Below are 24,978 nucleotides of genomic sequence, written 5' to 3'. Positions count from 1 at the left end.
GTGAAAAGAGGGCCACTGTCTTCCAGACCCCAGAAAGGTAGATCCACCAACAGCTTGTACCATGTGCCTGGAAAAGCCACAGACACTCAACACCAGCCCATGAAAGCAGCCAGGAGGGAGGCTGTATCCTCCAAAGCCACAGGGGAGGAGCTGCCCAAGACCATGAGAACCCACCTCTTGCATCAGCGTGAACTGGACATGACACCTGGAGTCAAAAGAGATCATTTTGGAGCTTTAAAATTTGACAGCCCCGCTGGATTTTGGACTTGCATGGGCCCTGTAGCCCCTTTGTTTTGGCCAATTTCTCCCATTTGGAACAGCTATATTTACCCAATACATGTACCCTCATTGTATCTAGGAAGTAACTAACTTGCTTTTGATTTTACAGGTTCATAGGCAGAAGGGACTTGCCTCGTCTCAGATGAGATGTTGAACTGCAGACTTTTGGGTTAATGCTGAAATGAATTAAGACTTTTGGGGATGGTTAGGAAGGCATGATTGGTTTTGAAATGTGAGGACATGAGATTTGGAGGTATCAGGGCAGAATGATATGGTTTGGCTGTGTCCCCACCCAAATCTCACCTTGAATTGTATCTTCCAGAATTCCCACGTTGTGGGAGGGACCCAGGCAGAGGTAATTGAATCATGGGGGCCAGTCTTTCATGTGCTATTTTTGCGATTGTGATTAAGTCTCACGAGATCTGATGGGTTTATCAGGGGCTTCCACTTTTGCTTCTTCCTCATTTTCTGTTGCCACTGCCATGTAAGAAGTGCCTTTCATCTCCCACCATGATTCTGAGGCCTCCCCCAGCCATGTGGAACTGTAAGTCCAATTAAACCTCTTTTTCTTCTCAGTCTTGGGTATGAAGACAGTGTGAAAACGGACTAATACATCCCCATGATCCCCACATGTCATGGGAGGGACACTGGGAGTGATTGGATCATGGGGGTGGTTTCCCCCATGCTGTTCTCGTGATAGTGAGTGAATTCTCACGAGATCTGGTGGTTTCCTAAGCATCTGGCATCTCCCCTGCTAGGTCTCATTCTCTCTACTGCCACCTTGTGAAGAAAGTGCCTGCTTCTGCTTCACCCTCCACCATGATTGTAAGTTTCCTGAGGCCTCCTCAGCCAGGCAGAACTGTGAGTCAGTTAAACCTCTTTTCTTTATAAATTACCCAGTCTCAGGTATTTCTTTGTAGCAGTGCGAGAATGGCCTCATACAAAAAGTTTTGGGCCCCCCTCTCAGCACTTCCCAAATGTTTCCTTTTCGGGATATCTGCTGGCTTTGCAGATGATTTAGTTTCTTGTTTTCAATTGCTGCTATTTTAAAGTTTCTTTCTATCATTGTCACAGTTTCTGTGTCTGTAGGGGAAGACAGGCCCACTTTTCCATCTGGAAACCAGAAATCCCTTTTAAAACGTCTTTAAAGTCTAAGTAACATTGGTTTGTATTCACTGTGTTTATTTATTTATTTAATTTTAATTTTTATTTTTTTTGAGACGGAGTCTCACTCTGTCACCCAAGCTGGAATGCAGTGGCGCGATCTCGGCTCACTGCAAGCTCTGCCTCCCGGGTTCACGCCATTCTCCTGCCTCAGCCTCCTGAGTAGCTGGGACCACAGGCGCCCGCCACCACGCCTGGCTAATTTTTGGTATTTTTAGTAGAGATGGGGTTTCACCGTGTTAGCCAGGATGGTCTCGATCTCCTGACCTCGTAATCCGCCCGTCTCAGCCTCCCAAAATGCTGGGATTACAGGCATGAGCCACCGCGCCTGGCCCACTGTGTTTATTTTTATAGTTACTTGCTCTGGGGCATTGCAGAGCCCTGTGGTTTTGAGTGTGGCCTCGACTTGGGCTGCCTGGATGTGAGCCCAGCTTTCCCCCTGACAGAACCACACCTTTTCATTGCTTTGTGCCTCAGTGTTCCCATCTGTGGAGTGGGAGACACAATAGCAGACACCACACAGGGTATTGTCAGGATTGAATGATACGGTTCTGGGGCACAGAGACAGCACAGCATGGGCCTCTGAGAGGGGTGCTTGTACCCATACACCGACATAAATGGGTCTAAGGAAACCATCGCACCATGGGAATGACTGAGGTTTCGGAAACCATTTGTTTACACGTGGCGGAATGCAGACCCAGGTCAGGCAGTGACCTGGCGCAACCTCCAGACAATCAGCCTCGGAGACGCAGGGTAAACCTATAGAAGCTCACCCCAGTGGTGACCAACCTAGCCCACCGCCCACCAGAGCCCACCTGCAACCTTGTCAGGCCCCTGCCTATCTCCAGCCCAGTCCTGGGGTGGCTGGCCCTGCTGGGCCTCGGCAAGGAGGGCAGGAGAGGCTGGAGCTCTGGAGCGCTGGCAGGGGCCTGGCTGGGCCCCCAGGAGCTGGGAGCTCTGTAAATGTACAGTGTGATGGCATCACTTCCTGGGCAGGGCAGGACCCACCCAAGGGCACAGGGCAGAGGCAGGCCCCGGTGTGGGGAAGGCCCCGCTCTGCACCCACACCACAGGCTTCTGCAGCCAGGCACGAGCATTGCTTTTGTCTCCCCAGGCCACGGTCTGCCTGTAGCCACCCCCTGCCCAGTAGGAGGTCATTTTGTGTCCAAAGCTCCCTGCATCCTGCTATGCCTAGGTCCTGGCTGGCACCACCTTCACTGTCTTCCCTGCCCACACCTGCAGCCCCAGCTGCTGACCCCACCCATCCCACAGGCTCCCCGATACCCTGCTGTCTGCACCGGGTGCTCTCTGCTCTGGACAGAGCAATAGAAAGGAAGGGCAGAAAGCCCTGCCCGTGCGTGTGGAGGCGGGACAGGAGGTGGGACAGGAGGCGGGACAGGAGGCGCGACAGGAGGCGGGACAGGAGGCGGGACAGGAGGCGGGACAGGAAGCCAGCAAGCTCACGTGTCGCTTGCGTAGCAAGTGCCCCAAGGAAAGCATTCCCGGAGAGGTGCGCGTGGAACAGGGTGAAAGGCGGCCCCGCAGGGCCCAGCACCAGCCTGGGAGCATTGCACCTGGCTCCGTGCACCTGCCCTGGGGGGCAGCTGCCTCCCCGCTGACCGGGCCTGGTCGCCTGCTTGCCCCACTGACTGCCTCCATCTTCCTACATGAGCTGGTTTCCTCACACAATCCCCTACACTGGAAATAACAGCCGGGGTGACCTCTGAGTCCTGGCGGCCCCCTGCCCCCTGTCCCCTGGGCAGTGCTCCCACAGCCCAAGACTGACTCTCGGGGTGCCCACAGGGGCATGTGGATGACCAAGCGGCTCCTTGTCCCCCACCCTGCCTGGCCTTCCCAGAGGCTTCCTGGTCCTTCAGTGGCTGCTGGGGGTCCTGGACTGCCCCCCGGATGTGTCCTCCAGCCTGCAGGCCCCAGGCAAGCAGCCCACAGAGGACCTGGACAGCCTGGGAAAGACGGTAGGCAAGAAAAGACGTCAGGACAGGAAACGTACTCAATGCTCAGGGTTTATTTGCAAAACTGGGCTGGGTTGAGCAGAGGGGGCTTTGGGATGCTGACCCCTCTCTGACCTGGCCGTTGCGACCTCAGCCCTGAGTTACCCTGCAGCAGGCATGGACAGGCGGCCGCCTTGCCTGTCGCAGCTTCCTGGCAGCAGCTGGCCTTGCCTGGACCAGCCTGTCTGCCCCAGCGGCCGGACGTGGCCAGCTGGAATCCGTGCTGCGCGGGCGCTCCGGCCGTGGCAGGGACACATAGGCCCGCACATGCTTAGTTTGTTCCAGGGCGTCCCAGTGACATCAGGGAGGGGCAAGGCCAAGGTGGGCCACAGGCTCTCCCAGGGTAGGACTCCTGAGTGGCGCCCTCCCGAAAGGGGTCCTGCTGGCCCCTCACCCTTCTGGGGCCGGTTTCACCCACGGGGTGGGCAGCAGGAGCACGGAGCGCGGGGTGCCACACACAGGCCGGGGGGCTCCGCAGAGGAGGCCCAAGGTTTTCATGATCAGACAATGCACATCCTGGCTCCAGGTGGACAGAGCATGGGGATGGAGGCAGAACGTTCTCAGACAGCAGTGGCCTCCTGGGCCGGGAAGCCACGGGTGTGTGGGGGAGCCATGGGCGCAGGGACACAGAAGGGCGTGCAGCCACACTCATCCACGTGGGTGTAGGTGTGCAGGATGGCTGAGCCGTTAGGACAGTGCAAGGGCACCGTCTCCTCGTGGACCCGCCTCTCCTGGCAGCAGGTGCACTGGTGCTGCATGGCCTGGGCCTCTGCTGAGTACCTGTGGACGCAGGGTGGCCCTCACATCAGCCACCTTGGCCCCGCCGTTTCTCTGCCCAGCCATGGTGACACATGGGCCTCTGGGGTCCTGGGCCAGACGGCCGCCCCCTTCTGTCCACAGTGGCCTGCTCTGTGGGCACGTGAGGCTTCACCTTCTCAGGATGGGGCAGCTCTGGGCCCCCAGGGTCCCTTGGCTCCCGGCTCTGTCTTCTGTGGCCTGCACTTCCCCTGTCTGAACCAGCTCCTCCAATCCTGCTGACCCTAAGCAGCCCTTGACCCTTCCTCCTGCCTCTTCTAGCTAAGGGTCAACCCTTCTGGCCCCTCCTGCTGACAGCCAACCACAGTGGCAAGCCATGGGGGGCTTCACAGAAGGCTCTGGTTCCACCCACCCTCCCCAGGGGGACACCTGGACCTGGGTTCGCAGCGGGGAGCTCTGTGCCATGTGGCTCGGCTCAGCCGGGCCCTGGCCTGGCTAGGAGAGCGGCCCCAGGCTTTCTGCCAATGGACGTGGAGAGGGGGAGCCCTGCTGGGGAGCCCCTTCCCTCCTTCCTGGAGCTGGCGTAGGCCCTCCTGACCCAGAGCAGGCTGCCAGCCAGCTGACGGGCCAGGGCGGACCCACCACACGCAGGTGCTCTTGGCACAGGGCCAGGAGCCCACTCACTTGGACGCTCCGGGGCAGGAGCCCTCGCAGAAGGTGATGTTGACCTCGGTCTCGCAGCCCTGGTGCCACAGGATGGTCGTGTTGATGCGGACTTGACAGGAGTCTGGGAGGAGGAAAGGCAGATGTGGAGCCCCACTGGACCCTCACTCTGAGGGCCTGGACTTGCTGGGCCGACCCTCCCCATGGGACCACCCCTCCCATGGCCCTCCAGGACCGAGGGTGGAGTCTGGACGCGGGCATCCCACTGCTGCCTAGTGCAGATGTCTGGGCAGGAATGGATGGGTGGCGACGGGCTGGAGCTGGAGGGCTGGTGTGGGAAGGTGGCTTCCACTTACCCTCCTCACAGGAGTAGCAGCAGCCGGTTTTCCTGAGGCTCCCCTGGTGGGGGCCAAAGACAGGGGGCAGGGCTGTGGGCGGGGCCTCCCTGGTGGGTGCGGCCTCCTGGGGAGGGGCCCACCCGGGCAGGGGCATGGCCTCCCGGGCAGGGGCGGGGCCTCCCAGGCAGGGGTGGGGCTTCCCAGGCAGGGGTGGGGCCTCCCCAGCAGGGGTGGGGCCTCCCTGCTGTGCAGGGCATCCCAGACAGGGGTTGGGCCTCCCTGATGGACAAGGACTCCCAGGCAGGGGCAGGGCCTCCAGCACACACCCTGCAGCTGGACACATCTGGGCAGGATGCAGGCTGTGGGGTCAGCAAATGGACTCCACCCTCAGCCTCACAGAGGTACACGGTGCAGTTGTCCACATGGCTGTTGACCCAGGTTTCATTCAGCTGAAATGCAAGGGTGAGTGTGGAAGCTGAGTAGGGATTACCTCTTGTGCAGAGCCCCATTGGGGGTGAGGGTCTCCAGGGAGGGAGCTGAGACCTGCCCCCACATGCCTCTGCTGTTACCTGGACTGGCTGGCCATCGGGCGTGAGGCAGGCGGTCTGGACGCACTCCCCACAGCACTGCCCGGCCACTCTCTTGTACTCAAAGCCCTGTGGGGACATGAGGGGCGTCAGGCCCTAACCCTCTCCTCCAGCACATGCCCCGGCCCAGCCTGCCCTCCTGTCTACACCCCAGTGGTCCAGGACCCCTTAGCCCTGTCCCTGCCTGGGCCTATACCCGAAGAAGTTGCCCCCACTCAGTTATCCCGGCTCAGCCTCACCCCAGTTTCCAGCACCTTCTCTCTGCCTACCCCTGCCTTCCTGGAACCTGACCTCAGCCCCTGTCCCCAGCAGCCTGCAGGTCCTGTCCCACCCCCAGACCCCCTCAGTTATCCTCCTACTTCATACCCTCCCTTTGGAAACAAACAAGACCCCAGCAATGGCTGAGCTAGAGAACCCCAGGGAGCCAGGATAAGTGACTCAGGGCTGGGTCTGCCCAGCAGCTGTGGGCTCACCTGGGGGCAGGTGCCTCGGGTCTCACTTGGGGGCAGGTGCCTTGGTGGCTCACCTGGGGGCAGGTGACTCAGGTCTCACCTGGGGGCAGGTGCCTCGGGTCTCACCTGGGGGCAGGTGCCTCGGGTCTCACTTGGGGGCAAGTGCCTCAGGGACTCACCTGGGGGCAGGTGCCTCGGGGGCTCACCTGGGGGCGGGTGACTCAGGTCTCACCTGGGGGCAGGTGCCTCGGGTCTCACTTGGGGGCAGGTGCCTCGGGGGCTCACCTGGGGGCAGGTGCCTCGGGTCTCACCTGGGGACAGGTAGTATTGTTGCAGGCATCCTCCTGACATTGCACCGTTGGGTCCTGGGTGTCCCCAGAGAGGCAGGTACACATGTGGCAGGGAAGGGCGCCTGGGAAGGTTGCACCAACCTGCAAGGGGTGGGAGGGTGGCACTGAGGGCACTGGTGGGGCAACAGGGCCAGGACCCCTCCCCATGACCCAATGGGGCCTGCAGGGAGTTGTTCCTTCCTCAGATGGAGCATAGATGCACCCCTGGCTGAGCATGGACCCAGGCAGGCAGGGAGCTGATGCACACAGGGACCACAGGTGGGCAGGGAATCTGGGCAGGCAGAGACCCCATGTGGGCAGGAATCTGGGTGGGCAGAGACCCCATGGGGGCAGGAATCTGGCAGGCAGGAATCCGGGCGGGTAGGAATCTGGGCGGGCAGGCGGGGACCCCAGGCCAGTGTGTGCTGCCCCCAGGCTGTTGCTGGGAGCCCCTGAAGGGACCTCTCAGAGGCAGCAGTTGTGGAGCTCATGGCTGTCGACGTAAGGTGCCCCTGAGTCCCAAGCATGTCCCAGCTCTGACGTGTCCAGGGCCCCTGTGCGGATCGGCCCTCAGGGCAGGAATGTCAAGACAAGGAGTGGGGCTCAGAGAGCCCCGGGGCATCCCACACACATGTTCAGGCCCCAGGGCCACACCCACCCACTGCTGTGCCCTTACCCCGTAGAAGGTGCCATTGTACGAACACAGCTGAGGTCCTGGAAGGAAAGGGAGCTAAGCCCTCGACAAGTGGTGGGGAGCATGTGCTCCAGCGCCCCCACCATCCTGCACTCCCCCACCCCCAGCAAGAGGCCACCCAGGAGCCCGGCCCCAGCCCCGCTCACTGCAGCGGAAGGTGGGACAGCAGTCGCCCTCCTCCTGGGTGCAGATGGACTCCTGCCCTGGCGGGCACACAGGCAGGCTCTGGGGGCAGGTGGTTGTGTTGCACACTGCGGGAGGATGGAGGCCACTGTCTGGGCGCTGCTCACTCCTCCTCCCGACCACTTGTTCCCAGAGTAAGTCGCAGGCGTGCTTTTCCCCGAGGACCTGACCGCTTCACAGCCCCTGGGGGCTCCCTCCAGGCCCCTTGCTTGGCCACCTCCCCGCTGCTTCCCACGTCCCTGGGCCACTCCTGGGCAGGCCAGAGGTCACCAGCCTCATCGTTAGGAGGAGAATGAAGCACCTGGAGGCCATCTCTGCCGAGTGGTCCTGCCGCGGTCACGCCAGGACACAGTGGCTCTCCTCTGCTCTCCTGTGCCCAACCCACAGGCCCCTGGTGGGCACCGGCTCTGTCCCCCCTCACCCTATGCCGGGCACCTCTGCTCTGCAGCGTCTTACCGCACACCGTCTCGGGGCAGCAGGGGTTCTCGGCCCGGGGCCTGGTCACGGTTACGAAGCCGGGACGGTTGCACGGCGGGGGCTGACCCTGGGCGTCACAGGGCAGGGGCTTGCACTGCACCGACACTGAACCCTCGTCACACACGCAGGACTGGCAGTTGCTGACCCACCGCTCCCCGGGCTGGAATGGATCAAGGGGGTCCCTGAGGGCTCCTGGACAGACACAGGTCAACCCTGGGCATCTGTCCAGCCACCCCCTCCCTCGGGCTGGTACCCGAGTGGCCCAGAGTGATGGGGCAGGAAGCGCACACCAGCCACTGGCACGTCCACGTCACACTCGGGCGCCCCACAGCTGCCCTGTGGGATGGGGATGCTCCTTCCCTCCCTCCCTCAGCTCGCGAGAGGGTGGGGTAGGGCAGGTGGGGGTGGAGCCACTCACAAATTTAGGAAACCCATCGGGTCCCACGCAGGCTGGAAAGAAAACAGCATGGCATCACGGAGGGTGCTGAGTTTGCAGGCGGAGGGGCCTCTGGCCATGGGAGGTGCTCTCAGGCCTGGAGCCTGCTTCCCCCCGGGATGGAAGGCCCTGGAGAACTTTTGGGGTGTCAGATGTGGCTGGAGCTCAGGCCAGGGCACCGTGAGCCCAGCTGTCAGTGCATGGAAGCCTCGTCCATGGTGGTGGGAGGCAGGGCTCAGGGGAGGGACCATCACAGGATCACTCAAGGACAGAGCCTCCCTGTGGGGCTTCAGGGGACCGTGGGGGCTCTGCAGGGTTCAGGGCCACTCTGGGGCCATCCCATGCTCTGGTGGGGCAGAACAGGTCACGGGGGTCAGCTGGGGAGAGGGGAGAGCACATCATGGTCCTGGGCGGCTCCTCCCACCCTGTGTGTGCTTGGGTCGGGCCCAGGGTCGTATCCCGCCACAGGTGGCGGAGCTTACGGCAGGCCTGCACGCAGATGCCCATGTGTGCGTTGAAGAGGATCTGGTCCTCAGGGCAGAAGCAGCCCTCCGCCATCCCCTCCAGCTGTGGGCTCTGGTTCCTGCAGGATGACAAGAGAGGCCCTGAGACCTAGAGATCCAGGAGGCCTCCACTGTCATCCACGTGAGTCCCCAGGATGGGCAGTGGGGAGCAGGGAAGGAGATGAATGGGTGGAGTGCGGGGCTCAGGGTGGGCGGGGCTGGGGGCGGGGACGGGTGGGGCTGGGGTGGGGGTGGGCGGGGCTAAGTATGGGCGGGGATGGGTGGGGCTCGGTGGCGGGGCCAGGTGGGGATGCGGGGCCAGGCGTGGCCAGGGATGCGCCCCCTGCCTGACTCTGTCTCTAAGGCATCTGGGAGCAGCAGGGGATGTTTTCCAAGGAGTCCTGGGCTCGGGCACCCCAGAGATCTGTGGCCCACAGTGGGACACCCTCTGGCCTCCTCCTGCTCCCCCAGACCGGTCAGGCAGGCCTGGGTGGCAGGGAAGGCACCAGCCATCCCTGTACTTACCTAGAGTTGCAGGTGGCAGGCTGTATGGGGCCGCATGGCTTGTACACTTTGGTGGGTGGGCAGGTGAGGTCTGTGGGCACAGAGAGGTGTCAGACAAGCCAAGGGGTTGGGGGGGCCCAGGGCCGCCCCCAATCACCGCACAGGACACTCAGAGAGGCCGAGGAGTCTGGGGGGCCCGGGGCCGCCCCCACTCACCGCACAGGACACTCAGAGAGGCCGAGGGGTCTGGGGGGCCCGGGGCCGCCCCCACTCACCGCACAGGACACTCAGAGAGGCCGAGGGGTCTGGGGGGCCCGGGGCCGCCCCCACTCACCGCACAGGACACTCAGAGAGGCCGAGGGGTCTGGGGGGCCCGGGGCCGCCCCCACTCACCGCACAGGACACTCAGAGAGGCCGAGGGGTCTGGGGGGCCCGGGGCCGCCCCCACTCACCGCACAGGACACTCAGAGAGGCCGAGGGGTCTGGGGGGCCCGGGGCCGCCCCCACTCACCGCACAGGACACTCAGAGAGGCCGAGGGGTCTGGGGGGCCCGGGGCCGCCCCCACTCACCGCACAGGACACTCAGAGAGGCCGAGGGGTCTGGGGGGCCCGGGGCCGCCCCCACTCACCGCACAGGACACTCAGAGAGGCCGAGGGGTCTGGGGGGCCCGGGGCCGCCCCCACTCACCGCACAGGCCACCGGTTGCACCTCGCCAGTCACTGCACACTCCCCGGGCGCGGCAGAGCTCTGCGTAAGCCTCCAGGCTCTGGCAGGGCACCTCAAGGCGGCCCCTGCAGTGGTCGCTGATGCAGGCGTTGAAGAATGGGCCCGGGGGCACAAGGTTGTGGCACTCAGCAAAGACCCTGTGGGGCAAAGCGATCAGGACGGAGGGCCCCCAGCCCCAGGGAGCTGCGTGCGTGCGTGCATGCGGGCGGGCGGGGGCGCCCCAGGGCCTGCAACCCCCGAGGGGAGGACTCACTGGCTCAGCATCAGATCACAGAGCGGCTGTGGTGGGCATGGGGTGGGGGTGGGTGTGCTAGACACCGGGGCTGCGGGGCTGGCAGTGGGGGGTGTGCCAGTCGGGGCCCAGCAGCCATCCTTTCTGCTGTCGGGGACCAGCCACGTCTTGGCCATGTCCTTGCAACTGGCGGCAGTGGTTCCGTCCCGCTGGAGACAGTCGTCCCTCTGGTTGTTGGTGCAGGTGCCTGGGAGTGGGGGCGTCACCGCGGGGCTGGAATCTGGGGAGCCTTTCACAGCCCCCACCCCCCTCCCCCACTCATTCCCCTCCCCAGGCTTCCCCTATGCTCACTGGGTTGTCAGGCCCAGCAGCAGCCCTGGCCGGGGCAGGACCCGCCGCCCACTCACCGCACTGGCCCTCGGTGTTGTTGTGGAAGAGGCTGTAGGGCAGCCGGGCCTGGAAGACTTGGCCATTGAAGGTGACGCTCACGCCCAGGGCAGGAATGTCCACACGCATGGTGGTGGTCCCCAGCACAGACACAAGCACGCCGTTCTTGCTGAAACCGCTGCTCACCGGAATTTGGTCAAACAGGATCTGGGGGAATCCAGGGGAACCCTGAGCTGGGAGGCAGTGCCAGGTGGGCTCGGGGAGCAGGGCTTCTCTTTGGGGCTCTGCCTCCATGTGCAGAGACCCCCCTGTGTATCCCCCACCCCAAAGCCCAGATCTTCCCTGGGGGCCTGGAGTCTCCAGCTGGCTGCATTTAGGCCACAGGGTGCGCTCGGCCTTAGGCGGCTCCACAGGCCTTCCCTGCCCCCTGGGAGCTGTCTTGGGCACTGGGCCATCGCTGCGGCACCTGGGTCACCCCGGCCTGCAGTCGGCCTGCCCAGGTGCGGTTGGGACTGGGCCAACACTGTGCCACCCGCAGCCTGGACTCACCAGGCCCTCCTCCTTCCCATGCACCATGGTGACAGTGAGGACGATATCCATGGACTTGTAGTGGATGCTGAGGGCGCGGGGGCAGCGGGCGGCAGCGGCAGTGGCAGAGGCCGTGCAGTAGTGGTTGTCCAGGTAGAGGCTGAGATTCCCAAAGCGTGCATGGATCTCTCTCATGAGGACATAGGTGCAGTTGCCCCGGAAGGTGTAAGAGGTGCCGTCAAAGGTGGAATAGTGGGAGCCGCCCCACATGCTGCAGATGCCTGCGGGACAGAGATGGACGGGCTGGCAGGCTCCGTGGTGGTGCCCTCGCTCCCCAGGCGTCATGGCAGCCAGCGTCACCACTGTGACTGCCGCCTTGGGGAGCCACTGAAGCCCCTGGGGCCTCAGCTGCCTCGTCTATAAAAATGGGTCCAGTGTGTAGAATGGGGTCCCCCAAAATCTATGGCTATCCCAGAACCTCCGCATGTGGCTTTGCCGGGAGAAAGTGTCTTTGCAGATGGGATTAAGGGAAGCATCTTGAAATGACATCATCGTGGACTAGCTGGGTGGGCCCTCAATCCAATGACCAGTGTCCTTACGGGAGACAGAAGAGACACAGACACAGAGAGGGGAGGCCACAGAGAGGCAGAGGCAGAGATCGGAGGGATGCAGCCACAGCCAAAGGACACCTGGAGTCCCCAAAGCTGGGAGAGGCAGGAAGGACCTCCCCAGACCCTCAGCAGGGAGTCTATCCCCTGCCCGCCTGGATCTCAGACTTCCAGCTCCAGGACGGAGAGTGGGTTTCTGTTGTATAAGCTCCCCAGCTTGTGGCGGTTTGGAACAGCAGCCCTGGGCCAAGGACATGGGGAGGAGTGAGAACGCCGTGACCTCTTAGCGGTGGGTCCCGCACGGTGATGGAAGCCGCTGTTAGGACCCAGGAGACAAAAGCTCCTCTGGGCTCCCGCTTCCATCCTGAGCTTCTCCTGGCCCCAGAAGCCCCTGGGCAGGGTCCCTTTCAAACCACACAGGCTGATGTGCAGAGAAGCTCAGCAAACCAGCCTCTGCTGCCTCTCCCTTGGGCTGTGTCAGCATTTTCAGCCCTGTGGACACGGAGCCTGCATACTAACAGCTCTCACGACGTGCACCACTGAGGCCCAAGACAGCATGGTGCATGATGGTTTCCTGAAGGGATGCCAGCGATCTCCCAAACACCACCACCACACCCCACCATGCCCCACCATGCCCCACTGCACCCCACCATGCCCCACCATGCCCCACCATTCCCCACTGCACCCCACTGTGCCCCACCATGCCCCATTCTGCCAGCCTAGCCGACGGTGCACTCTGCTCCACCTGCCCCCGGGGTAATCCCGCGGCCACCGACGCACTCACACTCGCACTCATAGTGGAAGTCACAGGGCTGGCTCGGGTCCGACACTTTGATGGGCAGGTGCTTGTTCACGCAGGTGACGTTGGCCACAGGCTTTGGGTCCAGCAGGACGACACGGTTGTCACCCACGCACCTGGCCACCGTGCAGTTCTCCAGGGTCCAGGTCTCATTCACCTGGGGCAGGGAACATGCACGTCCTCACCTGGACCAGCTCACGGGACCCATCCACGGCTCATCCCACCCCTCATGGCCCAAAGCCCCGGGTGGCCACAAGAGCCTGCCTGAGGAGGGCGGCCCCCATGCTAGCCTGGCCCCTAGGCCCTGTGTGCCTCCTCCAACTGGAGATACTGGCGGCGGGGTCACTGAGACGGGCCTCGGGAGCTGGACTGTGGCTGTGCCTCCAGCCAACCCAGACCGTGTGCACGCAGCACGGGAGGTGGAGGGCAGGCGGGGCCCACCTGCCGGAGAGGGATGGCATTGTCACAGCCAGGGGCAGGGGAGGGCGAGGACAGCGGGGCGGAGGACACTGGCGGTGGGGAGGTGGGACAGGCGCCCTGGAAGCGGTCAATGTCACAGTGCTGATTGCACACTGCGTAGAAATGGCAGCCGGCTCGGTCGGTCTTATTGTAGATGACTTCCCCTGTGAAGAACAACACCATAGAAAGATAAGCCACTCCCAGAGATGGGTAAGCCAGAGTTCTGGGAGAGCAAAGGCAGAGGTCAGCGCAGGAGGGAGCAGCGGTTCCAGGGAAGGGAGTGGAGAGGGCAGAGGCTGAGTGTGGCCAGTGGGGACCAAGTGTGGCCACTGGGGACGGATTGTGACCAGTGGGGACCGAGTGTGGCCAGTGGGGATGGATTGTGGCCAGTGGGGACCGAGTGTGGCCAGTGGGGACTGATTGTGGCCAGTGCGGACGGATTGTGGCCAGAGGAGACCCAGTGTGGCCAGTGGGGATGGATTGTGTCCAGGGGAGACCGAATGTGGCCAAGGGGGACGCATTGTGGCCAGTGGGGACCAAGTGTGGCCAGTGGGGACTGATTGTGGCCAGTGCGGACGGATTGTGGCCAGAGGAGACCCAGTGTGGCCAGTGGGGACCCAGTGTGGCCGGGAGGGGCCAAGTGAGGCCAGTGGGGAACAAACATGACCAGCAGGGAGAAAGCCACTGGCTCCCAGGACAGGCAGACCCAGGTTGGCATAGCATGTGGGGAAAGGGTACAGCAGTGTTATCCACATGCACTCACCGGGCGAGAAAAACTGTCCAAATGCCCTGCAGAAGCAGGGAGTAGAGAAGTGGGAGCTGGGGAAGCCAGTGGGTCTCAGGGTGGTGAGGACTGAGGAGGACACAGTGGACACGCTGAAGGTTGGCAGGCTGCTGGGGAGCACTGCAGGGGTGCGGGTGGTCCCCACGGTGGACGAGCTGGGAACCGTGGAGGCAGTGGCTGTGGGCATAGTGGCCATGGTGGTCACCACTTTGGGGGTGTGAGCTGTTCCCAGAGTGGAGGAGGCGGTGGCCGTGGAACCGGTGGGCACCATCACGGTGGCTATAGTGCTCGGCTCTGTGAGGATCCAGGTGGTCCCTGGGGTGGAGGACAGGGTGGCCGTGGATCCAGTGGCTGCAGTTGTAGTGGCTGTTGTGGTCAGCTCAGTGAGGATCCGGGTCGTCCCCAGAGTGGAGGAGGGTGTGGCCGTGGAATTGGTGGCCCTTGTCATGGTGGCTGTGGTGGTCAGCACTGTGGAGGTGTGGGTGGTCTCTGGAGTAGAGGAGGTGTGGATTGTGGACATGGTGGACATGGGTGTGGTGGTCTGTGCTGGGACGGTCCACGTGGTCCACAGGGTGGAGGAGGGGATGGGTGTAAAGCTGGTAGCTGTGGATTTTGTGGCTGTGCTTGTCAGCACTGGAAGGGTGGTTGCAGTCCTTGGACTGGAGGAGGAAGTGGCTTTGGAGCTGGTGGCTGCGGGTGTGGTGGCCGTGCTGGTCAGCACTGGGGTGATGGGTGTTGTCCCTGGAGTTGAGGAGGGGTTGGTGGTGGAGCCGGTGGCCGTGATCGTAGTGGCCGTGGTGGTCAGTGATGGGGGAGTACCACTGGTCTGTGTGCTAGAGGAGGGTGTTGCCATAGAACCAGTGGCCACAGTTGTGGTGGTGGTGGTCAGCACTCTGGCGGTGTGGGTGGTCCCCGGGATGGAGGAGGGGGTCACCGTGGAGCCACTGGTTGTGGGTGTGGTGGTTGTGGGTGTGGTGGTTGTGCTGATCCACACTGGAGGCGTGAGTGCCGTCCCTGGGCTGGAGGAGGGGGTGGCTGTGAAGCCCGTGGTTGTGGTAGTCGGCACTTTGGTAGTGTGAGCTGTTCCTGGGGTGGAGGAGGGGGTGGCCACAGAGCCGGTGGCCCCGGTTGTGGTGGCCGTGGCGGTAAGCACTGTGGAGGTGTGGACAGTCTCTGGAGTGGAGGAGGGTGTGGCTGTGGACATGGTGGCCGTGGGTGTGGTGGTCTGTGATAGGCGGGTCCAGGTGGTGCCCAGGGAGGAGGAGGGGATGGCTGTAAAGCTGGTAGCTGTGGGTGTGGTGGCTGTGCTTCTCAGTGCTGGAAGGGCAGTTGCAGTCCCTGGACTGGAGGAGGGAGTGGCTTTGGAGCTGGTGACTGTGGGTGTCGTGGCCGTGGTGCTCACATGTGGGGTGCCAGCAGTTGCCTGGGTGGAGGAGGCGGTGGCCGTGGATCCGGTGGGCACCGTCACGGTGGCTGTAGTGCTCGGCTCTGTGAGGATCCAGGTGGTCCCTGGGGTGGAGGACGGGGTGGCCGTGGATCCAGTGGACGCAGTCGTAGTGGCTGTTGTGGTCAGCTCTGTGAGGATCCAGGTGGTCCCTGGGGTGGAGGACGGGGTGGCCGTGGGGCCAGTGGCTGCAGTTGTAGTGGCTGCTGTGGTCAGCTCTGTGAGGATCCAGGTCGTCCCCGGAGTGGAGGAGGGGGTGGACGTGGAACTGGTGGCCCTTGTCGTGGTGGCCTTCGTGGTCAGCACTGTGGAGGTGTGGGTGGTCTCCGGAGTGGAGGAGGGGTGGATTGTGGACATGGTGGCCACGGGTGTGGTGGTCTGTTCTGGGAGGGTCCCGGTGGTCCCAAGGGTGGAGGAGGGGATGGGTGTAACGCTGGTAGCTGTGGATTTGGTGGCTGTGCTTGTCAGCACTGGAAGGGTGGTTGCAGTCCTTGGACTGGAGGAGGAAGTGGCTTTGGAACTGGTGGCTGTGGGTGTGGTGGCCGGGCTGGTCAGCACTTTGGGAGGGGGAGCTGTTCCCGGGGTGGAGGACGGGGTGGCCGTGGATCCAGTGGATGCAGTCGTAGTGGCTGTTGTGGTCAGCTCTGTGAGGATCCAGGTCGTCCCCGGAGTGGAGGAGGGCATGGCCGTAGAGCTGGTGGCCGGGGTGCTGGGGCAGTGGCCGTAGTTGCAGCAGAACACACGGATTTCATAGTTGAAGCACATCTTGAACTTCCCCACCTGCTCACGGTTCCTGCAGACCAGGCCAAAGTCCAGGCTGCATTCCACGACCTGGCCCAACTCCCCCAGGGGGACACCAGGCTGGGCCTGGGCACGGCACTCGAGGCCCAGGGGCTGCTCACAGACGGCCCCTCCGGCCGCACGGATGTTGGAGTAGGTGTCAAAGTCCCCGCCAGAGGGCCCCGGCATGGGGTAGCTGTAGTCCAGCCACTCTGACCAGGCACACTGGGGCTCACAGCCCGTGGTCACCACCGTGGTTATGGGGGCCGATGTGGGGCTGCTGGGCAGCAGGGTCGAGGTGCGGGTCTTGCTGGGTGTGGCCGTGGCCGTGGTCCTGGAGGTGGCCGTGGTGTGGCCCGGGGTGGTCGTCCCTGGGGAAGGGGGTGACTCGGTGGTCCTGCTGCTAGGGTGAGGGCTGGACAGGGCTGGAGTCGAGTGCTGGGTGGTACCGGTGGTTGCTGCTGGGGTGTGGGAAGTCCCCGTGGAAGGCTCTGTGATGTGGGTGGTGCCCAAGGTGCCTGAGGTGGCCGAAGTCCAGGCTGTGCGCACCGTGTGGGGACTGCTGGGGGACAGGGATCGCCCGTGTGTGGTGGCCGTGGTGTTCGGCACTGGGGGTGTGTGGGTGGTCCCTAGGGCAGAGGAGGGAGTCACTGTGCTGCTGGTGGCTGCAGGTGTGGTGGCGGTGGTGGTCAGCACTGGGGGGATAGGTGTTGTCCCTGGAGTTGAGGAGGGGTTGGTGGTGGAGCCGGTGGCCGTGATCGTAGTGGCCGTGGTGATCAGTGATGGGGGAGTACCACTGGTCTGTGTGCTAGAGGAGGGTGTTGCCATAGAACCAGTGGCCACAGTTGTGGTGGTGGTGGTCAGCACTGTGGGGGTGTGGGTGGTCCCCGGGACGGAGGAGGGGGTCACCGTGGAGCCACTGGTTGTGGGTGTGGTGGTTGTGCTGATCCACACTGGAGGCGTGCGTGCCGTCCCTGGGCTGGAGGAGGGGGTGACTGTGAAGCCCGTGGTTGTGGTAGTCGGCACTTTGGTAGTGTGAGCTGTTCCTGGGGTGGAAGAGGGGGTGGCCACAGAGCCGGTGGCCCTGGTTGTGGTGGCCGTGGTGGTAAGCACTGTGGAGGTGTGGGCAGTCTCTGGAGTGGAGGAGGGTGTGGCTGTGGACATGGTGGCCGTGGGTGTGGTGGTCTGTGATAGGCGGGTCCAGGTGGTGCCCAGGGAGGAGGAGGGGATGGCTGTAAAGCTGGTAGCTGTGGGTGTGGTGGCTGTGCTTCTCAGTGCTGGAAGGGCGGTTGCAGTCCCTGGACTGGAGAAGGGAGTGGCTTTGGAGCTGGTGACTGTGGGTGTCGTGGCCGTGGTGCTCACATGTGGGGTGCCAGCAGTTGCCTGGGTGGAGGAGGCGGTGGCCGTGGATCCGGTGGGCACCGTCACGGTGGCTGTAGTGCTCGGCTCTGTGAGGATCCAGGTGGTCCCTGGGGTGGAGGACGGGGTGGCCGTGGATCCAGTGGACTCAGTCGTAGTGGCTGTTGTGGTCAGCTTTGTGAGGATCCAGGTCGTCCCCGGAGTTGAGGAGGGCGTGGCCGTAGAGCTGGTGGCCGGGGTGCTGGGGCAGTGGCCGTAGTTGCAGCAGAACACACGGATTTCATAGTTGAAGCACATCTTGAACTTCCCCACCTGCTCACGGTTCCTGCAGACCAGGCCAAAGTCCAGGCTGCATTCCACGACCTGGCCCAACTCCCGCAGGGGGACACCAGGCTGGGCCTGGGCACGGCACTCGAGGCCCAGGGGCTGCTCACAGACTGCCCCTCCGGCCGCACGGATGTTGGAGTAGGTGTCAAAGTCCCCGCCAGAGGGCCCCGGCATGGGGTAGCTGTAGTCCAGCCACTCTGACCAGGCACACTGGGGCTCACAGCCCGTGGTCACCACCGTGGTTATGGGGGCCGATGTGGGGCTGCTGGGCAGCAGGGTCGAGGTGCGGGTCTTGCTGGGTGTGGCTGTGGCTGTGGTCCTGGAGGTGCCCCTGGTGTGGCCCGGGGTGGTCGTCCCTGGAGAAGGGGGTGACTCGGTGGTCCTGCTGCTAGGGTGAGGGCTGGACAGGGCTGGAGTCGAGTGCTGGGTGGTACTGGTGGTTGCTGCTGGGGTGTGGGAAGTCACCGTGGAAGGCTCTGTGATGTGGGTGGTGCCCAAGATGCCCGAGGTGGCCGAAGTCCAGGCTGTGCGCACCGTGTGGGGACTGCTGGGGGGCAGGGACCGCCCGTGTGTGGTGGCCGTGGTGTTCGGCACTGGGGGTGTGTGGGTGGTCCCTAGGGCAGAGGAGGGAGTCACTGTGCTGCTGGTGGCTGCAGGTGTGGTGGCGGTGGTGGTCAGCACTGGGGGGATGGGAGTTGTCCCTGGAGTTGAGGAGGGGTTGGTGGTGGAGCCGGTGGCTGTGATCGTAGTGGCCGTGGTGGTCAGTGATGGGGGAGTACCACTGGTCTGTGTGCTAGAGGAGGGTGTTGCCATAGAACCAGTGGCCACAGTTGTGGTGGTGGTGGTCAGCACTGTGGCGGTGTGGGTGGTCCCCGGGATGGAGGAGGGGGTCACCGTGGAGCCTCTGGTTGTGGGTGTGGTGGTTGTGCTGATCCACACTGGAGGCGTGAGTGCCGTCCCTGGGCTGGAGGAGGGGGTGGCTGTGAAGCCCGTGGTTGTGGTAGTCGGCACTTTGGTAGTGTGAGCTGTTCCTGGGGTGGAGGAGGGGGTGGCCACAGAGCCGGTGGCCCTGGTTGTGGTGGTCGTGGTGGTAAGCACTGTGGAGGTGTGGACAGTCTCTGGAGTAGAGGAGGGTGTGGCTGTGGACATGGTGGCCGTGGGTGTGGTGGTCTGTGATAGGCGGGTCCAGGCGGTGCCCAGGGAGGAAGAGGGGATGGCTGTAACGCTGGTAGCTGTGGGTGTGGTGGCTGTGCTTCTCAGTGCTGGAAGGGCGGTTGCAGTCCCTGGACTGGAGGAGGGAGTGGCTCTGGAGCTGATGACTGTGGGTGTGGTGGCCGTGCTGGTCAGCACTTTGAGGGTGCCAGCAGTTGCCCGGGTGGAGGAGGCGGTGGCCGTGGATCCGGTGGGCACCGTCACGGTGGCTGTAGTGCTGGGCTCTGTGAGGATCCAGGTGGTCCCTGGGGTGGAGGACGGGGTGGCCGTGGGGCCAGTGGCTGCAGTTGTAGTGGCTGCTGTGGTCAGCTCTGTGAGGATCCAGGTCGTCCCCGGAGTGGAGGAGGGGGTGGACATGGAACTGGTGGCCCTTGTCGTGGTGGCCTTCGTGGTCAGCACTGTGGAGGTGTGGGTGGTCTCCGGAGTGGAGGAGGGGTGGATTGTGGACATGGTGGCCATGGGTGTGGTGGTCTGTTCTGGGAGGGTCCCGGTGGTCCCAAGGGTGAAGGAGGGGATGGGTGTAAAGCTGGTAGCTGTGGATTTGGTGGCTGTGCTTGTCAGCACTGGAAGGGTGGTTGCAGTCCTTGGACTGGAGGAGGAAGTGGCTTTGGAACTGGTGGCTGTGGGTGTGGTGGCCGTGCTGGTCAGCACTTTGGGAGGGGGAGCTGTTCCCGGGGTGGAGGACGGGATGGCCGTGGATCCAGTGGTTGCGGTCGTAGTGGCTGCTGTGGTCTGCTCTGTGAGGATCCAGGTCGTCCCTGGAGTGGAGGAGGGCGTGGCCGTAGAGCTGGTGGCCGGGGTGCTGGGGCAGTGGCCGTAGTTGCAGCAGAACACACGGATTTCATAGTTGAAGCACATCTTGAACTTCCCCACCTGCTCACGGTTCCTGCAGACCAGGCCAAAGTCCAGGCTGCATTCCACGACCTGGCCCAACTCCCGCAGGGGGACACCAGGCTGGGCCTGGGCACGGCACTCGAGGCCCAGGGGCTGCTCACAGACGGCCCCTCCGGCCGCACGGATGTTGGAGTAGGTGTCAAAGTCCCCGCCAGAGGGCCCCGGCATGGGGTAGCTGTAGTCCAGCCACTCTGACCAGGCACACTGGGGCTCACAGCCCATGGTCACCACCGTGGTTATTGGGGCCGATGTGGGGCTGCTGGGCAGCAGGGTCGAGGTGCGGGTCTTGCTGGGTGTGGCCGTGGCCGTGGTCCTGGAGGTGGCCCTGGTGTGGCCCGGGGTGGTCGTCCCTGGAGAAGGGGGTGACTCGGTGGTCCTGCTGCTAGGGTGAGGGCTGGACAGGGCTGGAGTCGAGTGCTGGGTGGTACCGGTGGTTGCTGCTGGGGTGTGGGAAGTCCCCGTGGAAGGCTCTGTGATGTGGGTGGTGCCCAAGGTGCCTGAGGTGGCCGAAGTCCAGGCTGTGCGCACCGTGTGGGGACTGCTGGGGGACAGGGATCGCCCGTGTGTGGTGGCCGTGGTGTTCGGCACTGGGGGTGTGTGGGTGGTCCCTAGGGCAGAGGAGGGAGTCACTGTGCTGCTGGTGGCTGCAGGTGTGGTGGCGGTGGTGGTCAGCACTGGGGGGATAGGTGTTGTCCCTGGAGTTGAGGAGGGGTTGGTGGTGGAGCCGGTGGCCGTGATCGTAGTGGCCGTGGTGGTCAGTGATGGGGGAGTACCACTGGTCTGTGTGCTAGAGGAGGGTGTTGCCATAGAACCAGTGGCCACAGTTGTGGTGGTGGTGGTCAGCACTGTGGGGGTGTGGGTGGTCCCCGGGATGGAGGAGGGGGTCACCGTGGAACCTCTGGTTGTGGGTGTGGTGGTTGTGCTGATCCACACTGGAAGCGTGCGTGCCGTCCCTGGGCTGGAGGAGGGGGTGGCTGTGAAGCCCGTGGTTGTGGTAGTCAGCACTTTGGTAGTGTGAGCTGTTCCTGGGGTGGAGGAGGGGGTGGCCACAGAGCCGGTGGCCCCGGTTGTGGTGGCCGTGGTGGTAAGCACTGTGGAGGTGTGGACAGTCTCTGGAGTGGAGGAGGGTGTGGCTGTGGACATGGTGGCCGTGGGTGTGGTGGTCTGTGATAGGCGGGTCCAGGTGGTGCCCAGGGAGGAGGAGGGGATGGCTGTAAAGCTGGTAGCTGTGGGTGTGGTGGCTGTGCTTCTCAGTGCTGGAAGGGCGGTTGCAGTCCCTGGACTGGAGAAGGGAGTGGCTTTGGAGCTGGTGACTGTGGGTGTCGTGGCCGTGGTGCTCACATGTGGGGTGCCAGCAGTTGCCTGGGTGGAGGAGGCGGTGGCCGTGGATCCGGTGGGCACCGTCACGGTGGCTGTAGTGCTCGGCTCTGTGAGGATCCAGGTGGTCCCTGGGGTGGAGGACGGGGTGGCCGTGGATCCAGTGGACTCAGTCGTAGTGGCTGTTGTGGTCAGCTCTGTGAGGATCCAGGTCGTCCCCGGAGTGGAGGAGGGCATGGCCGTAGAGCTGGTGGCCGGGGTGCTGGGGCAGTGGCCGTAGTTGCAGCAGAACACACGGATTTCATAGTTGAAGCACATCTTGAACTTCCCCACCTGCTCACGGTTCCTGCAGACCAGGCCAAAGTCCAGGCTGCATTCCACGACCTGGCCCAACTCCCGCAGGGGGACACCAGGCTGGGCCTGGGCACGGCACTCGAGGCCCAGGGGCTGCTCACAGACGGCCCCTCCGGCCGCACGGATGTTGGAGTAGGTGTCAAAGTCCCCGCCAGAGGGCCCCGGCATGGGGTAGCTGTAGTCCAGCCACTCTGACCAGGCACACTGGGGCTCACAGCCCATGGTCACCACCGTGGTTATGGGGGCCGATGTGGGGCTGCTGGGCAGCAGGGTCGAGGTGCGGGTCTTGCTGGGTGTGGCCGTGGCTGTGGTCCTGGAGGTGGCCGTGGTGTGGCCCGGGGTGGTCGTCCCTGGAGAAGGGGGTGACTCGGTGGTTCTGCTGCTAGGGTGAGGGCTGGAAAGGGCTGGAGTCGAGTGCTGGGTGGTACCGGTGGTTGCTGCTAGGGTGTGGGAAGTCACCGTGGAAGGCTCTGTGATGTGGGTGGTGCCCAAGATGCCCGAGGTGGCCGAAGTCCAGGCTGTGCGCACCGTGTGGGGACTGCTGGGGGGCAGGGATCGCCCGTGTGTGGTGGCCATGGTGTTCGGCACTGGGGGTGTGTGGGTGGTCCCTAGGGCAGAGGAGGGAGTCACTGTGTTGCTGGTGGCTGCAGGTGTGGTGGCGGTGGTGGTCAGCACTGGGGGGATGGGAGTTGTCCCAGGAGTTGAGGAGGGGTTGGTGGTGGAGCCGGTGGCCGTGATCGTAGTGGCCGTGGTGGTCAGTGATGGGGGAGTACCACTGGTCTGTGTGCTAGAGGAGGGTGTTGCCATAGAACCAGTGGCCACAGTTGTGGTGGTGGTGGTCAGCACTGTGGCGGTGTGGGTGGTCCCCGGGATGGAGGAGGGGGTCACCGTGGAGCCTCTGGTTGTGGGTGTGGTGGTTGTGCTGATCCACACTGGAGGCGTGAGTGCCGTCCCTGGGCTGGAGGAGGGGGTGGCTGTGAAGCCCGTGGTTGTGGTAGTTGGCACTTTGGTAGTGTGAGCTGTTCCTGGGGTGGAGGAGGGGGTGGCCACAGAGCCGGTGGCCCCAGTTGTGGTGGCCGTGGCGGTAAGCACTGTGGAGGTGTGGGCAGTCTCTGGAGTGGAGGAGGGTGTGGCTGTGGACATGGTGGCCGTGGGTGTGGTGGTCTGTGATAGGCGGGTCCAGGTGGTGCCCAGGGAGGAAGAGGGGATGGGTGTAACGCTGGTAGCTGTGGGTGTGGTGGCTGTGCTTCTCAGTGCTGGAAGGGCGGTTGCAGTCCCTGGACTGGAGGAGGGAGTGGCTTTGGAGCTGGTGACTGTGGGTGTGGTGGCCGTGGTGGTCAGCACTTTGGGAGGGGGAGCTGTTCTCAGGGTGGAGGTCGGGGTGGCCGTGGATCCAGTGGACGCAGTCGTAGTGGCTGTTGTGGTCGGCTTTGTGAGGATCCAGGTCGTCCCCGGAGTTGAGGAGGGCGTGGCCGTGGAGCTGGTGGCTGGGGTACTGGGGCAGTGGCTGTAGTCGTCACAGCAAAGCACACGCACGTTGTAGTTGAAGCACATGTTGAACCTGCCTGTCTGGTCTTCGTTCTTGCAGGTCAGCCCCGTCTCCAGGCTGCAGGTCAGCACCTGCCCGACCTGGTCGATGCTTACCTCGGGGTAGTTCTCCGCCCGGCACTCTATGCTCTTTGGTGCCCAGCACATCTTGCCCCCAGCAGCCCTGATGTTTTCAAAAGTTTCCATGTCCCCGCCTGCAACCCCTGAGGTTGGGAAGTCCACGTCAAACCACTCTGTCCACTCACACTTCGGTTGACAGCGGGTCGTGCCCTGGCTGGTGGTGGTGTTAGTCAAGGGGCTCATTGTCGTCTCTGTCCTGGGCGTGCTGGTCTCGGCCTGAGAGGTGGACAGCTCGCTCGTGAGTGTTGGCGCCAGGCTCGTGGTCAGCGGCTCTTTGGAAGCGGTGCTGGCTGTGCCTGTCGGGCGAGCTCTGGAGGTTGCCATTGTTGTTGGGGCCAGCGTGGGTGGCTGTGAGGGGCGCCATGTGCCCAAGCTCCCCGTCGTCCCTGGAAGGGCTGAGCGTGTTGGAAGGGTGGATGTGGCCACCCCTGGGACAGTGGGTTCTGTGGAGCCTGCAGGCGTCGTGGGGCCTCCCGTGGTGGCTGTACCAAGGGTGCTTGTGTATCTGGGGGATGTCAGTCCTTCTGAGAGGGTGGGGACTGCTGTGGTGCTGGCCGGGGGAGCCCTGGTCAGCCCCGGGCTACTCGTAGGCTGCGGCGTTGAGAACAGGGCCTGGGTGGTGGTGGTGGTGGCCGTCTCCAGCTCTGTGGTCGGTGGCGGGGTTGTGGCACGTCCCCTGCAGTGGTCGTCACTGCAGCAGAGGACCCGGATCCTGTAGTTGTAGCACATCTTGAAGACGCCCTCCTGCTCCCAGTTCCTGCACACCAGGCCGAAGTGGACGTCACAGTGCACCTTCTGCCCCACCTGTGCCAGGGTCCAGTTGGGGAAGCTCTCGGCCTGGCACTCTATGTCCTTAGGCTGCTGGCATAAGTGCCCTCCAGCGGCCCTGATCTTATCGTAGGACTCAACGTCCCCTCCAAGTTGTTCAGACTTGGGGTAGTCCTCATCAAACCACTCTGTCCACTGACACCGGGGCTGGCAGGTGGTGGTACCTGGGGCCGAGGGGGTGACCGTCACGGGGCCTGAGCTGGACCCAGTCTGCGAGGTGAGGGCCGCCGTCGACCGGATGCTCGGGGTCACCCATAGGGTGGTCTTTTCGGTTGCTGTGGTCTGGGTTGGGGTAGGCACAGCAGGCTCCGTGCTGGCACTGAGGGAGGGCTGAGGGCTGGTGCCTGGGGCCGGGGAGGGGCCACAGGGCACGTATTCGCAGCAGAGAACCCGCAGCTCGTAGTCGTGACAGAGCGGGGGACTCTGTTGGCTGTTGGCGCACATCAGCCCCCGCATGCGGTCACAGTCCACCTGCTGGCCCAGCTCCTCCAGCGGCATGTCGGGAAGCTGCGCCGCCCGGCACTCGATGTCAGCCAGCACAGGGCATACCTGGTACCCTCTCTGCCTCAGGTTTTCAAACGTCTCAAAGTCTCCGCCTCCCAGGCCGGGCTCTGGGCGGTGCCCATTGTACCAGCTGGACCAGCGGCAGACCTCGCGGACACACACGGTGGAGACCGGGAGGGCCGGGCCTGCAAGGGGCATGGGAAAGGGGTCCTGGCTCAGCATCCTCCAGTCCTGGCCTCACAAGGTGGAGGGGCCCCAGAGGACCCTTTCCCCAGGGCTGGCCCTGCCCCTGTGGGATACTGGGGACCCCAGTGCCTGCCTCAGCCTTGGTTAGAGCCGTTTCTGCATGAGGGACTGGGGCCTGGCAGCCTGGCCTTGAGGGAGCTGGCT

At 63.6% G+C, this 24,978-nt stretch overlaps 1 protein-coding gene, 1 long non-coding RNA gene and 1 other non-coding gene across 3 annotated transcripts in view, besides 4 other annotated features; 1 reads left to right on the top strand and 2 right to left on the bottom strand.

Annotated features, from left to right (window-relative positions):
- Positions 962-1,021: an enhancer, noted in NCBI's record as "active region_4288". NCBI's record gives its function as "activates an Ori minimal core promoter by ATAC-STARR-seq in GM12878 lymphoblastoid cells {active_cell/tissue: GM12878}" and the evidence as "EXISTENCE:reporter gene assay evidence [ECO:0000049][PMID:35858748]".
- Positions 2,916-3,421: an enhancer, noted in NCBI's record as "H3K27ac-H3K4me1 hESC enhancer chr11:1283433-1283938 (GRCh37/hg19 assembly coordinates)". NCBI's record gives its function as "activates a minimal SCP1, AML or CMV promoter by ChIP-STARR-seq in naive H9 embryonic stem cells {active_cell/tissue: H9 hESC(naive)}" and the evidence as "EXISTENCE:reporter gene assay evidence [ECO:0000049][PMID:30033119]".
- Positions 2,985-3,134: a silencer, noted in NCBI's record as "silent region_3051". NCBI's record gives its function as "represses an Ori minimal core promoter by ATAC-STARR-seq in GM12878 lymphoblastoid cells {active_cell/tissue: GM12878}" and the evidence as "EXISTENCE:reporter gene assay evidence [ECO:0000049][PMID:35858748]".
- MUC5B (mucin 5B, oligomeric mucus/gel-forming) overlaps positions 3,452-24,978 on the bottom strand; it is a 39,107-nt gene continuing 17,580 nt past the window's right edge. Inside the window, exons 31-49 of the mRNA NM_002458.3 lie at positions 13,881-24,773; positions 13,100-13,281; positions 12,644-12,815; positions 11,273-11,532; positions 10,744-10,930; positions 10,358-10,583; positions 10,066-10,241; positions 9,399-9,468; positions 8,853-8,953; positions 8,353-8,384; positions 7,914-8,094; positions 7,421-7,525; positions 7,257-7,294; positions 6,563-6,682; positions 5,782-5,868; positions 5,539-5,661; positions 5,231-5,273; positions 4,896-4,998; positions 3,452-4,235 (exon numbers count right to left, since the gene is read on the bottom strand). Coding sequence (NP_002449.2) covers positions 4,016-4,235; positions 4,896-4,998; positions 5,231-5,273; positions 5,539-5,661; positions 5,782-5,868; positions 6,563-6,682; positions 7,257-7,294; positions 7,421-7,525; positions 7,914-8,094; positions 8,353-8,384; positions 8,853-8,953; positions 9,399-9,468; positions 10,066-10,241; positions 10,358-10,583; positions 10,744-10,930; positions 11,273-11,532; positions 12,644-12,815; positions 13,100-13,281; positions 13,881-24,773 — 13,319 coding nt within the window. The 3' untranslated portion in view covers positions 3,452-4,015. The remainder of the gene's footprint in view (positions 4,236-4,895; positions 4,999-5,230; positions 5,274-5,538; positions 5,662-5,781; positions 5,869-6,562; positions 6,683-7,256; positions 7,295-7,420; positions 7,526-7,913; positions 8,095-8,352; positions 8,385-8,852; positions 8,954-9,398; positions 9,469-10,065; positions 10,242-10,357; positions 10,584-10,743; positions 10,931-11,272; positions 11,533-12,643; positions 12,816-13,099; positions 13,282-13,880; positions 24,774-24,978) is intronic.
- Positions 5,288-5,517: a silencer, noted in NCBI's record as "silent region_3050". NCBI's record gives its function as "represses an Ori minimal core promoter by ATAC-STARR-seq in GM12878 lymphoblastoid cells {active_cell/tissue: GM12878}" and the evidence as "EXISTENCE:reporter gene assay evidence [ECO:0000049][PMID:35858748]".
- On the bottom strand, positions 8,954-9,019 carry MIR6744 (microRNA 6744). Its single transcript, NR_106802.1, has one exon. It is a non-coding gene; the product is annotated as a microRNA 6744 (primary transcript).
- MUC5B-AS1 (MUC5B antisense RNA 1) lies at positions 15,948-23,363 on the top strand. Its single transcript, NR_157183.1, has 2 exons — positions 15,948-16,003; positions 22,986-23,363. It is a non-coding gene; the product is annotated as an MUC5B antisense RNA 1 (long non-coding RNA).

Source organism: Homo sapiens, chromosome 11, assembly GCF_000001405.40.
Source record: "Homo sapiens chromosome 11, GRCh38.p14 Primary Assembly".
Taxonomy (NCBI): domain Eukaryota; kingdom Metazoa; phylum Chordata; class Mammalia; order Primates; family Hominidae; genus Homo; species Homo sapiens.
The sequence above is the reverse complement of the archived record's forward strand: the minus strand, read 5'-3'. Positions and strand labels throughout refer to the sequence as shown.